This window comes from Homo sapiens, chromosome 19 (genome assembly GCF_000001405.40).
Source record: "Homo sapiens chromosome 19, GRCh38.p14 Primary Assembly".
NCBI lineage: Eukaryota > Metazoa > Chordata > Mammalia > Primates > Hominidae > Homo > Homo sapiens.
Genome location: NC_000019.10, coordinates 38,045,120 through 38,058,424, shown reverse-complemented (window position 1 = coordinate 38,058,424; position 13,305 = coordinate 38,045,120). Strand labels below are relative to the sequence as shown.

The 13,305-nt window shown below is 51.3% G+C and overlaps 1 protein-coding gene across 8 annotated transcripts in view, besides 6 other annotated features; it reads right to left on the bottom strand.

Moving 5' to 3' along the window:
• The window catches only part of SIPA1L3 (signal induced proliferation associated 1 like 3), a 301,162-nt gene that overhangs the window by 149,945 nt on the left and 137,912 nt on the right, over window positions 1-13,305 (bottom strand). The window lies entirely within an intron of this gene.
• Window positions 2,299-2,869: an enhancer, noted in NCBI's record as "OCT4-NANOG-H3K27ac-H3K4me1 hESC enhancer chr19:38546196-38546766 (GRCh37/hg19 assembly coordinates)". NCBI's record gives its function as "activates a minimal SCP1, AML or CMV promoter by ChIP-STARR-seq in naive H9 embryonic stem cells {active_cell/tissue: H9 hESC(naive)}" and the evidence as "EXISTENCE:reporter gene assay evidence [ECO:0000049][PMID:30033119]".
• Window positions 5,567-6,068: an enhancer, noted in NCBI's record as "H3K4me1 hESC enhancer chr19:38542997-38543498 (GRCh37/hg19 assembly coordinates)". NCBI's record gives its function as "activates a minimal SCP1, AML or CMV promoter by ChIP-STARR-seq in primed H9 embryonic stem cells {active_cell/tissue: H9 hESC(primed)}" and the evidence as "EXISTENCE:reporter gene assay evidence [ECO:0000049][PMID:30033119]".
• Window positions 8,805-9,334: an enhancer, noted in NCBI's record as "active region_14568". NCBI's record gives its function as "activates an Ori minimal core promoter by ATAC-STARR-seq in GM12878 lymphoblastoid cells {active_cell/tissue: GM12878}" and the evidence as "EXISTENCE:reporter gene assay evidence [ECO:0000049][PMID:35858748]".
• Window positions 9,988-10,736: an enhancer, noted in NCBI's record as "OCT4-NANOG-H3K4me1 hESC enhancer chr19:38538329-38539077 (GRCh37/hg19 assembly coordinates)". NCBI's record gives its function as "activates a minimal SCP1, AML or CMV promoter by ChIP-STARR-seq in naive H9 embryonic stem cells {active_cell/tissue: H9 hESC(naive)}" and the evidence as "EXISTENCE:reporter gene assay evidence [ECO:0000049][PMID:30033119]".
• Window positions 11,605-11,984: an enhancer, noted in NCBI's record as "active region_14567". NCBI's record gives its function as "activates an Ori minimal core promoter by ATAC-STARR-seq in GM12878 lymphoblastoid cells {active_cell/tissue: GM12878}" and the evidence as "EXISTENCE:reporter gene assay evidence [ECO:0000049][PMID:35858748]".
• Window positions 12,715-12,764: an enhancer, noted in NCBI's record as "active region_14566". NCBI's record gives its function as "activates an Ori minimal core promoter by ATAC-STARR-seq in GM12878 lymphoblastoid cells {active_cell/tissue: GM12878}" and the evidence as "EXISTENCE:reporter gene assay evidence [ECO:0000049][PMID:35858748]".

The window sequence follows — 13,305 nt, the reverse complement described above, 5'->3', positions numbered from 1 at the left end:
ATGCAGGGGGGCACCTGTCTTCCTTCCCAGTGGGGAGAGGTGTGTGGGAATGGGGGTTGTGGGGCCAGGCTACTGTTAGGAATGAGCACTCCAGCCCCACCCTTCAGCAGCACCACAGAAGGCTCTAGAAAGGCTCTAGTTATGACCCTCGCTGGATGTGAAGCTCTTCTCAAGCCCGAGGGACCAGCTGGCAGATGGCGAGGGCCTGCTGTTCTGTTTGCTCAACACCATAATCAAACATCCTGCTCCGGGACTGCAACCCAGGCCAGGCAGAGCACAGCAGGCTGGAAGGGGACACCAGGCCCTCAGGAGACCAGGAAAATGGCTCTCCAGGAGCCCGATGAGCCCAGCACACCAGGAAACTGGCCACTCCCCAGGACAACAGACTTCTTTCTTTTTTAATGTTCCCAGTGGTGATCCCTTTCTAGGGGCAATTTGGCAAGAGCTTTAAAAAGTGTTCTCAGGCCGGGCATGGTGGCTCAGGCCTGTAATCCCGGCACTTTGGGAGGCCGAGGTGGGTGGATCACGAGGTCAGGAAATCGAGACCATCCTGGCTAACATGGTGAAACCCTGTCTCTACTAAAAAATAAAAAATAAAAAATAAAAAAAAATTAGCCAGGTGTGGTGGTGGGTGCCTGTAGTCCCAGCTACTCGGGAGGCTGAGGCAGGAGAGTGGCATGAACCTGGGAGGCGGAGCTTGCAGTGAGCCAAGATTGCGCCACTGCACTCCAGCCTGGGCGACAGAGCGAGACTCTGTCTCAAAAGAAAAAAAAAAAAGTTCTCACCCTCTGAACCAGGAATGCTACTTCTGTAAATTAATCCTAAATAAATAATAAGAGATGCAGAAAAATTCATAGTATCCTTTATAACAGGCAAAAAACCCAACCTCAATGAGCAACACCAGGAGTACCATTAAAGAAATTATCAACCCCTAGGACAGTAAACATCTATAGGCTATGCAGATGCATTCCCAGAAAAAAAGACAGGAAAGACTCGATAATTTGATGCTGGGGCTACTAGTGGTTTTCGAAAATCTGTTCTTTATACCTTCCCATATATATACATATATATACGTATATATATACGTGTGTGTGTGTGTGTATATATGTATACACATATATACACATATATATACATATATATATATATTTGAGATGGAGTCTTGCTGGAGTGCACTCTAGGCTGGAATGCAGTGGTGGGATTTCAGCTCACTGCAACGTCCGCTTCCTGGGTTCAAGCAATTCTCTTGCCTCAGCCTCCTGAGTAGCTGGGATTACAGGCGCCCACTACCATGCCTGACTAATTTTTGTATTTGTAGTAAAGACGGGGTTTCGCCATGTTGGCCAGACTGGTCTCGAACCCCTGACCTCAAGTGATCCACCACCTCGGCTTCCCAGAGTGCTGGGATTACAGGCGTTGAGCCACCGCGCCCGGTCCCCATATATATTTTTTAACGACAGGGTCTCATTCTGTCAGTAGCTGAGAATACAGGTGTGTACCACCATGCCTGACTAATTTTTTAAATTTTTTGTAGAGAGGAGGTCTGGCTATGTTGCTCCGGGCGGTCTCCAACTCCTGACCTCAAGTGATCCACCCGCCTCCCAAAGTGTTGGAATTACAGGTGTGGGCCACCACGCCTGGCCCCTTTCCATATTTTTTCATATTACTTTCAGTGAATGTTTCAAAATCAGGGGGAAAAAAAACCAAACAAGTTTTCATTCATTTGATTTACTTCCATTCACTAGGTGAGTATTTCCTGAGATCTTACTATGTGATAAGTAACAAAGCAGTAACCACGATAGCCCCCTTCTCTGTCCACTGACTAAAGGAGGAAACAAACATTAATTAAATGCACTTAAGCACACAAATCAGTCTAAAGCAAGAGAAGGAAGGGGTAAACTGACGAAGGATGGGAGCAGGGTGCTGGAGAGTGGGTGGCCAAGGAAGATGGCATGGAAGGGGTGGTGTTTAAGCCCTGAAGGATGAGAAGTTGGCCATGGAAAGGGGTGTGAGTGGGTGAGGGGGATGGAGGAAAAACAGGTGCAAGGATGCCACAGTGTTCAGGAATCTGGAGTTGACCTCCATGGCAGGTTTAGGGGGGCAGTGGCCCGACTGGCTGTCATGGAGATCGTGACCTGCCGAGGGTACAGAGGCTTCATCAGGAGGCCAGGGTAGCCACCCACGTGGGGGCAAGAGTGGCCTAGCCCAGAAGGAGGGTGGTGCTGGTGCAGAGAAGGGACCGACTGGGGAAGATCTGACTGCTCCTCAGATCAAGAGGTGCTCAGAAGCAAGGCAGTCAATCCTCAGCCGGGTACCTGGTGGGTGCTGGGCGCTGTGCCAGATGCTGGCCGCAGAGCCGCAGCCATCACTCCCACTCTCAGCCCCCACACTGTTCAGACTCGAGCGGGAGGGAGAGAGGTGAATAAATGAGCCGTCTCAGGGCAGTATGTTTGGGCTCTGGCAGTCAATCGGCTAGTTCGGCTGGGCTCCACTTGAAGAAAACCCGACAATTTTCCAAACAAAAGCCAGCCTCAGCTCTCCTATGGGGTGGGATGTATTTCAAAGTCCTTCCCAGCCAGGTTTTAAAGCTTCTCCCAAGTGTTCCTCAGCAGGGGGCATCACTCTCAACATGCAGATGAAGAAACAGGGCACAAAGCAGTGGCATTCCTGGACATCACAAACCAGAAGTCAGGCCCGCAGTGGGAGAATCCCGCACTCCTGCTCTGGGTTACTCCAGGGCCAGGCACCTCAGGCTCCACTGCTGGTTGTCAAATCCAAACCCATCCTCTTCTGATTCCTTGAGAGAGGTCCACATTTGTTGGGGTGGCAGGATACTAATCCAAAAAGCTTACTTTCCTGGATTCCCACGCAGCTAAACTAAGGATGTATCTGATTATGGCCAGTGTGAGGGAAGAGGAAGTTTGCAGGGGATGGGGGATGGGACCTTTTGGCGAAGCTATTGTTTTCCTAATAAATAAATGGGGCACACCTCTTCTACCCTTCTCTTGTACTTGGAATATAAATGTCATATCAGGGGGTGCAACCGTCATCTTGGGAGCATGAGGCTGAGAGTGACATGCTGGGGACAGCAAGATGAGGAGTCAGAAGGAGCCTGCTCCCTGTCCCTGCACCCCCCAACAGTGGCGCCGCCCCCAGCTGCCCTCCCTCCCTTTTCTTCTCATGTGTAAGAGACCACCTGTTGCCTTACTGAAGCCACGGCTTACTGGTTTTTTGTTACATGTAGCCGATTGCAATCTTGACTGATGGAGGTCTTACCAGATCATTTTACAGCTAAGGAAACGGAAGGCCAGCAGGGGAGGTCACCAGACCAAAGTCACAGAGTTAGGAAGCGACAAGGCTAGAATGTGAGCCTCTATGCCTAACCACGCCACAGCAGCACCCCGAATCAGTTACAAGCACTGGCTTTGGAGAAGTCTTGGTTCCAACGTGCTTCTCTATTCAGTCGTTTACTTGTCCATTCCTCCACCAGCAGCAGGGGCTCCCGGGAACATGGACTCTTCACCGTTCACCTGCTATCACCAAGGACTCATGGCAGAAGCGCAGCCATCCCCATGGCCTGAGCAGCGACCACAGGCCAGGAAGGTCGTGTGATGCCCCTGGAAAGTGGGGACGACAACAGTGGCTTCACGGCTGTGTGGGAGGGCATGCTGTCCAGTTAGTGCCAAACAAAAGGTTCTCTTATCACCATCACTGAAGCTGTGGAGCTCCTCTTCCAAAGGCCTCTCCTTGTGACCAAGAGAGTGTACCAACTCCAGATGATTTTTTTTTCCCCTAAACTTGGATTCAAAGACAATTTCCTTTTTTTTTGAGATGGAGTTGCTCTGTCGCCCATGCTGGAGTGCGGTGGCGCGATCTCGGCTCACTGCTGAGATCAGGTTCAAGTGATTCTCCTGCCTCTGCCTGCTGAGTAGCTGGGATTACTGGCACCCACCACCACATCCGCTAATTTTTGTATTTTTAGTGGAGGCAGGGTTTCACCATGTTGGTCAGGCTAGTCTCAAACTTCTGACGTCAAGTGATCCGCCTGCCTTGGCCTCCCAAAGTGCTGGGATTACAGGCATGAGCCACCACTCCTGTCCTCGAAGACACTTTCTCAACACAAACTAGACATAACTCACAGGCCAATCACCTCCAAGGACTTCCAACCAATTCCTAACTGCTGTGCATGGGAGTGGCCTCCCTGTGGCATGTGCCACTACGCCTGGCTAGTTTTGTATTTTTAGTAGAGAAGGGGTTTCTCCATGTTGGTCAGGCTGGTCTTGAACTCCCAACCTCAGGTGATCCGCCCACCTCGGCCTCCCAAAGTGCTGGGATTACAGGCATGAGCCACCGTTAAGGGCACAAATTCTGAACTCAGGCTGCCTGGGTTTGAACTCAGCTCTGCCGTGTGACCTTGGACAGGTCCCTTAAATCTCTTTGTGCCTCAGTTGCCTCATTTGTATTTGGTTGGTGCAAAAGTAATTGCGGTTTTTGCCATTGCTTTCGATGGCAAAAACCACAATTACTTTTGCACCAACCTCACAAAATGGAAACAAGAAGGCTGGGCGCGGCGGCTCACGCCTGTAATCCCAGCACTGTGGGAGGCCACGGCGAGAGGATCACCTGAGCCCAGGAGTTCGAGACCAGCCTGGGCAAGAAAGTGAGACCCTGTCTCTACCAAAAAATAAAAAATAATAAAAATTAGCTGGGCGTGTTGGCACACGCCTGTGATCCCAGCTACTTGGGAGGCTGAGGTGGGAGGATCGCTTGAGCCCAGGACTGTGAAGCTGCAGTGAGCTGTGATTGCACCACTACACTCCAGCCTGGGTGACACAGCGAGACCCCCATCTCCAAAAAAAAAAAAGTACCTCCTTCATAGGGTGACTGTGAAGATTAAATGAGTTAATATGTAGAGCTCTGAGGGCAGCCTGGCATAGGTGACCACCAGGAAGTGTCCATGGCTATTACTACCACTATTATATGGATTCCTGGTGTGCCACTCCCTAGATGTGTGGCCTTGGCCAAGGTACTTAACTCTCTGGGGTTAACAGTCCATACCTACCTCACAGGATTATTATGAGAATTAACTAAGTGAATAAGTGTAAAGTACTTGAAACAGGTCTGCTTTACAAGAAGGGCCCAGGTCACCTTAGCAATCACGTCGCTTCTGACCGAGGCTTTCTTGTGTAACTGGGCTTCTCTGTCTCCTTTAAACTCTCACATTGGTGTTGAGCTTCCCTGTTTGTGTATCTGGGCACCTTCCATCTCCCCTGGGCTCCCCTCACCTCCGTGAAGCCACCAGCTCCAGGAGGGCACAAAGCACAGCTCCCACCCACACTTGCCTGATGCCAGCTGAGTACAGAGCTGCCCGCTCAATGCCAGCTTGGGCTGCTCAGTGGCACAACATTCCTCTGGCCTCTAGTGTGGCCCAGGATGCTGGTACCTCATGCAGGGGGCTCCCTGAGAATACTCCAGCACCCAGAACTCTCCGGCACGGTGTCCTCAGGAGGGCTTTCCTTAGGGTCAGGGCACAGCCCAGTGCGATGGGCAGGAACAAAAGGCAGTGTCCACTCTGAGTGTGGGAGGGGGAAGCTTGGAGGGGACTCCTCCGGCAGAGGAGGAACTCGGAACCATGTAGGCCCATCCCAGGCAGCAGTGACTGGCTGGTGGCATGCAATGCCCAAAGAGCTGCCTCAGGTTACCCTGGCAACCAAGGGACTTACCTCAGTGCCAGGGATGGTGCCTGTCACTAAATGAGGTGCCCCTGACAGGCCATTAGACCCTCTGGCTTTCTCATCTATCAAATGGGGATCGAGTTCCCTCTTTGATCCATTGCCTGCCCTTTTCCTAGCCTGCTCTGAAACACAGGGAACTACATTTCCCAGGACTGCTGGTGAGGCTCAGCCAACAGGGGCAGTGGCAGAAGCCTGGAAGGTAGAGGTGGTGAGAAGCCAGGTGGTCCTCCCTCCAATGTGGACAGCATCTCACGCGGAGGAGGCCTCCGCCCAACACTGCCCTGGGCTCTGCTAAGGTGCCCTACTCCTTGCGCCCTTCAGCTCTGGTTGCTCATCTAGGGACTGGCCTCTGCCCCTTTTTGGTTTCTCTGCTCCTCCCCAACTTTTTTAACCAAATTCCCTGTATTGAATTCCTTCCGCTAAAATACCTAGAGTGGATTCTGTTTTCCCAACAGATACACCTGCCTTGTCTATGTCTTAGGGGCATCTGAGAATCAAGGGAGAAGACACACCATGGAAAATGAAAAGCACCACAGGATGATTTTATAGAAATGTCCTCCTCTCTTCCACGATGTACAGGCACGCTGTGGGCATGCAGTTTAAAGCTCCCCAAATGAAATGATACAATGTTCGAGATTTGTTTCAAAATGATCCAAAGGCAGAGGAATGGATGAAACAAGACTGGCCATGTGTTGGTCACCAAAGAATCTGGTGACAACTGTGTACATGCAGGCAATATATGCTATTTCTACCCCTGTAAATGCCTGAAATTCCCCATTACTAAAACAACTCAAGTGGGGCGTGGTGGCTCACGCCTGCGATCCCAGCATTTTGGGAGGCCAAGACGGGAACACTACTTGAGACCAGGAGTTCAAGACCAGCCTGGGCAACATAGCAAGACCCTGTCTCTACAAAAAAATTAAAAAGTTAGCAGGTGTGGTGGTGTGTGCCTGTGGTCCCAGCTACTCAGGAGGCTGAGGTGGGAGGATCACTTGAGTTCAGGAGTTCGAGTCTGCAATGAGCTAAGATCGAGCCACTGCACTCCAGCCTGGGCCACAGAGATACCCTGTCTCAAACAAACAAACAAAAAAACCAAACCAAACTAAGAAACAAATCAAAACCAACAGGTCTGTATTCTGTTGGTGGGGATACACCAGGTTCTAGTGGCAGAACCGTCTTTGAGGGCAACTTGTCAGTTCATTACATCAAAACCATGCATATCCCTGGACCCAGCAATTCTGGCTCCAGTAAAAACACTGGCTCAAGAACCCAGAGCTTCTTGGACGAGGCTCCCCACTGCAGCACTACTTGAGAAAGACGAAAAGATGAAACCCAAGAGTCTCTCATTAAAGAATCAGTAAATACATTTTGATATGTCCATATGATACAGGCAGTCATTAAAAAGAAAGAGGGTACATTTAACATGCTAACGTGAGAACATGTCTAGAGATAGTCATCAGAGACAAATGCTAGCTGTGAAGAAAAAGTATTTATCACGTCACATTAAAACCTATGTGCTACCCAGAGGAGAAAACTCTGGTAAATGTAGTGATATCCACAAACATGACTATAGCATTTACCATGTGCCAGGCACTGCTCTAAACACTTTACATATATTTTCTTTTCTTTTTAAGACAGAATCTAGCTCTGTCACCCACGCTGGAGTGCAGTGGCATGATCTTGGCTCACTGCAACCTCCGCCTCCCAGGTTCAAGTGATTCTCCCGCCTCAGCCTCTGGAGTAGCTGGGATTACAGGTGTGTGCCACCACACCGGGCTAACTTTTGTATTTTTTGTAGAGATGGGGTTTCGCCATGTTGCCCAGGCTGGTCTTGAACTCCTGGCCTCAAGTGATCCATCAGCCCCAGCCTCCCAAAGTGCTGAGATTACAAGCATGAGCCACCATGCCCAGCGCACACATCATACTTTTAAAAATTAAAAACTACACACGTGGAAATGAATATACAGCACTCGACTCAAATGTGAAAGAAAGGAGTAGCTCCAAGCCTGCTCTTCGGACAACTTTGACTATATTGTCTCTTGGACGACCCAGGAGAAGCCAGAAATTCCTCCACAGGCAGAGCCATTCTGACGTGCATTGAAAGTGAAAGGATACAACATTTGAAAGTTTAGAAACTTTAAAACAATAATAATGACGGTGATAGTGATAATAATTGCTAATGCTTTCAGATCACATATGTGTTAGGCGCTGTTTTTTTGTTGTTGTTGTTATTGTTGAGACAGTCTCACTCTGTTGGCCAGGCTGGAGTGCAGTGGTGTGATCTTGGCTCACTTCAACCTTTGCCTCCTGGGTTCAAGGGATTCTCCTGCCTCAGCCTCCTGAGTAGCTGGGATTACAGGCATGCGCCACCACGTCGGGCTAATTTTTGCATTTTTAGTGGAGACGGGGTTTCATCATGTTGGCCAGGCTGGTCTCGAACTCACGACGTCAAGTGATCCACCTGCCTCGGCCTCCCAAAGTGTTGGGATTACAGGCGTGAGCCACCATGCCCAGCCAGCACTGTCTTAAATGCTTTACATATATTATCTCATTTAATCCTCAAAATACCTTACAATATAGATACTACTATTATTTCCATTTTATATTTATGGCAGCTCTGAGGCTCAGAGAGGTGAACTAACTTGCTGGGTTACATGGCAGGGTCAGGATTCAAACGCAGGTCACCGGCTCCAGAATTTGCCTTCCAATGCCTGTGCTGACTGGGCCTCTCTTGGAAAGGGGAGCCTGAATTAGGTTAACAGGGGCATGAAGAGGCACTCAGCCAGACTCACCATCAGAGCATTAAAACCCCGGAGACCCCACTTGACACCCTTCGGATTGGTGAAACTGGGAAGCAGGACAACAGCAAAGTGGCGAGAGGTATGGGGAAGCGGGACCCTCCTGTGCTCTCGGGGGAACGCGGGTCAGAGCAGCCTCATAGAGAGCTCAGGAGTTCAAGATCAGCCTGGCCAATGGAGCAAAACCCCAGTTCTACCAAAAGTACAAAAATTAGCTGGGTGTTGTGGCAGGTGCCTTAATCCCACCCCTGGGGAGAGAGAATGCCTATCTCCGGCTGCAACTGACTCCTGGGGGTAAGCCCCATGGGTTCCTAAGGCAAAGGTAGGCGGATGCTCACTTGAAGCATGGTTTGAAGTGGGGTGGAGCTAGGGGCAACCTGGATGCCCAACACCAGGGGACCAGACACGTGAGCCGTGGCAGATGTACAGCATGTACAACTGTTCAGCTGCCAGACGCCATACACTGGACACACATCCAGCAACGTGGCTAGATGGCGAACACATGCTATTTGGTGAAAACCAGAAGAAACCGAAAGAATGAGATACAGAGCTCCAAACCCCGGAAGCTGACTCTTTACTCAAACCTCAATATATATTTTGCAAGGATGTGTGCACAGCTACAGACACACCGGAAATATTTCAGACTGGGGGAAGGAATGAAAGGACCTATAGAGGATGAAGATGGAAAGAGAAACAAAAACCTTCCCAGTGACAAGGGAGGAGACACCCATTTTTTTTCCCCACCATCAGACAAGTAGTCTTTGGCAGCCAGACTCCACTTGCCCCCTGTCCACCCCCCGCTTTTTTTTTGAGATGGGGTCTCGCCCTGTCGCCCAGGCTGGAGTGCAGTGGCGCAATCTCAGCTCACTGCAACCTCCACCTCCTGGGTTCAAGCGATTCTCCTGCCTCAGCCTCACGATAGCTGGGACTACAGGTGTGCACTACCACACCCAGCTAATTTTTGTATTTTTAGTAGACACGGGGTTTCACCGTGTTAGCCAGGATGGTCTCTTGACCTCATGATCTGCCCGCCTCAGCCTCCCAAAGTGCTGGGATTACAGGTGTGAGCCACCGCGCCCAGCCTGCCCCCTTTTTTGGGTGTTAACTGAGGGTGGATGATGCAGGAGGCAGAAATTGGACGCAAGTCACTAAACTTCTTCAAAAGAAAACCACACTTCTTTGTTCTCAAATGCCACAAAATCTGTTGGGCCTGACACGATTTGCTAACTTAGGGAGGGGACTTGGTCAGGGACTGAGCTTGGCAGGCATTAATGGTTGTCTACTCAGTTTCCACTTCTGCTTTTTTCAGCTACTAGACAACAGAACCCAGTTGGTCAAGAGTGATCAGGATGTGGCATTCCTCTAGTAACTTGACCGGCCTGGTTGAGGGGCACGTGACCTCAGCTGGACCAGCTGTAGACTGAGGGGAACCACTTATAACCATCAGTGGGGTGTGTTCTCTCTCTCCTGATGCCTGTGGACAAGGGCAAGTGGCCCTGATTATCACTGGAAGCCATTCTGGAACCAAGAGGCATACAGAGGCCTTTGGAGGCTGAGAACCTGAGTCCCTGACAGACATGCTTGAGCTGCTGATCCTATCCACCTGGTGCCCATCCACCCCTGGGCTTCTAGAACACATCACATGTCTTAACCATTGGCCAGATGGTGCCAGGGTTGTTACTTGCAACTAAAAAGCATCCTGACTGAGAACCACAAAGCAGCCTGCTATCTTTTAATTGTTAAACAAGAGAAAATCTCTGTAGGAGGGAAATGGGGCATTAGAGGCATGAACAGGAAGGGCCAATTCATCCTAGTGTATGGGAAATGTTCACCCAGGCTGCATGTCCCCTGCCCACCCAGAGGCACACGCACGATTCTCTGTGCACGAGAGCTCAGGAAACCCTCTGCAGTGGGTCACTGTTTCCCTCACATCCTTTACCACAGTGGAGTTACCGCCGGTTTCCCATGTTGTATTTCTCCTGATGACGGCAGGGGGTTAATCCCCAGCTGACTGGAGCTGAGGATGAGAGACAGGACCAGAAAGCCCAGCCTGGCACTCCTGCAGCTGCTCTGTTCCTGAATCAAAGGTCGGACTTCAGGATCTGGACTGCCGCTGGGGTCTCTAAAATGACACGTGGTCCGAGGCCCTCCATGAGGAGACCTGGCTGGCTGCGGTGTCACATCCCTCCGTCAGCATCAAGGGAAAGATACCAGTGTGGCAGGGGCGGGCAAAGGAGCGTGCGCTCTGGGGTCAGCCCGGCCCGGGTTCAATCATCGCTCTACCCACAGATCGCCTGTGACTGCCTCTACTATAAAGTGAGTGGCAGGAGGGATCGAGGTCGAAGGAGGAAAAAATAACACAAACCTACCCAGTGAGACATTGTGTCACTGGCCATGTCGGTTCATTCATTCAACAAATATTTACTGAGCAGCTCTTTCGGGCCAGGTCCTGTTCTAGATGCTGGGGATATGGCAATGCACAAGACACAGAATTCCTATGGTCAAACAGGAGCTCACAGGCTATACTATAGGGTGTAGACAGGCAATACACAAGCCCACAAATCCACTGTGATATGTGCCATGAAGAAAATAAACCAGGTGATATGACAGAGAGAGGAATGTGTAGGAGTGTGTGTGAGTGCGTGCGTGTGTGCGTGCGTGTGTGTCGGCGGGGGAGAACAGGCTGGCAGGAAGTATAGCAGAGTGATTATGAAGCCAGATGGTCTGGGTTCAAATCCTGGTTCTGCCACTTCCTACCTGTGTGGCTCACGCAAACAACCCAACTTATCCGTGCCTCAGTTTCCTCATGTGTAAAACTGGATAGTGCCTGCCTCACAGGGTTTTTGGGAGGACTAAGTGGGTCAACACCTATAACATACTTAGCAGTGGGGACCACGCCTGGCTGGGGAGCCCATCCACTTAAGGGTCTCTGGAAGAGCCACTCAACCACCCAGGTGGTGCTGTTAGGCAGCCACAGCTACAAGCCATGTGGGTTTTCTGAGACACGATACACCCAAGTGCTCTCAAAGAGAGCCCCCTCCTGCAGGATCAGAGCCACCTTGCTCTGAGCGGGCAGCTGTGGGTACAGCAGAAGGGACAGCAAAGCCCTCCACTTACTGAGCAACTGACAGACGCCACTCGGGCACAGGAGATGCCGGGTTGCGGGGTCAGAGGAGCTGCTCGGGGGACCTGGGCCCCTCCACACCCGGAAAATCCAGCAGCATCCCCAGGCTGCGGGCGAGATGGCGGATTCATGTGGGCTCTTGCTGGGGGGTTGTGGCACAGGGCCTCCCAAAACTCTCAGCCTATGAAGGAGTCATTTCCTGTGCCATGCCCAGGAGACACAGGTAATCTGGAAACTCCCCTCCCCGGCCACCCTGCCTCTTTCCAGGGCAGGGCCCAGAACAGGGAACCGAGAGAAGCACGTTGATCGGCATGAGGTCAAAGACTCCACCACCACCCCACGGCCCCCGACCTTGAAGCTTTGTGCTGTCATCTGGCCACTCAAAAGAAATAGGGAAATGAGGAGGGGGGACAGGCTGCTGGCAGCGCTGGGCCTGAGAGGAAATGAGGCCATCTTTGCGGGCAGCAGGTGGGGGTCCCTTTTGAGAGGCCTGGAGGTCTATGGAGGAGGCGGGGCTGCTGTGACCTGTTTCTCGGGCCTCCCAGCAGCCTGGGATGGACCAGCAAGCTGCTTCTTTCCTAGAGGCTGATGAGTCGAGAACCAGGGCACCTTCTCGTCTATAGAAAGCTCCTCTCAACCCCGCCGACTGAGTGGCCAGATGACGGCAAAAAGCTTCAAGGAATCACAGTGGTGGAGGCGGCTCTGGAGTCTCTGACGTGACCCTGGAGCGGTACAAACTGTCCTGGGGGAGGAAGAGTGTCAGGACATCAAGGCTTGAAAGTGCACACAGAAGTTTAGAAAGAATTAAATGAAGTTGTATCACTTCTCCCCTGAAAACCCTTCTGTGGCTCCCAGGGGCTGTGGGAAGAAAGTCCAAATCTCCTACCGTGGCTCACCAGACCAGCTGACCCAAGTTTTCCTTCCCGCACTCTGCTCCTCCAACACACCCAGTTCCTCCCCACCTGCGACACCTTGGACCTGCACACAGACTATTCTCCCAGCCAAAATGCCCCAGCCTCCAGCCCACCCCAGGCTAGTTCCTGTTCATCCTCCCCGTCGAGCTTCACAGGTTGCTTCTTCAGAAAAGCCTCCTCTGACACTCCCACGCCCACCCCAGCCTGGAATAAGACCCCCACCTCCTTCCTGCCTGTTATTCTCTCTCAAGGCCCCCTGCACTTTTTCTTTCTTTTTTTCCTGAGACAAGGTCTTGCTCTGTCACCCAGGCTGGAGTGCAGTGGCGTGATCATGGCTCACTGCAGCCTCGACCCCCCGGGCTCAAGCGATCCTCCCACCTTAGCCTCTCGAGTGGCTGTGTACCTTTTCTTTATAGTTTCATTGCCACAGTTAAATTACGTGGCTGAGTGATTATTTGGTATCTTTTTTTTTTTTTGAGACAGAGTCTCACTCTGTCACCCAGGCTGGAGTGCAGTGGCATGATCTCAGCTCACTGCAACCTTCCGCCTCCCGGGTTCAAGTGATTCTTGTGCCTCAGCCTCCCGAGTAGCTGGGATTACAGGCACGCATCACCACACTGGCTACTTTTTGTATTTTTTGTAGAGACGGGGTTTCACCATGTTGGCCAGGCTGGTCTCGAACTCCTGACCTCAAGTGATCTGCCCATCTTGGCTTCCCGAAGTGCTGGGATTAC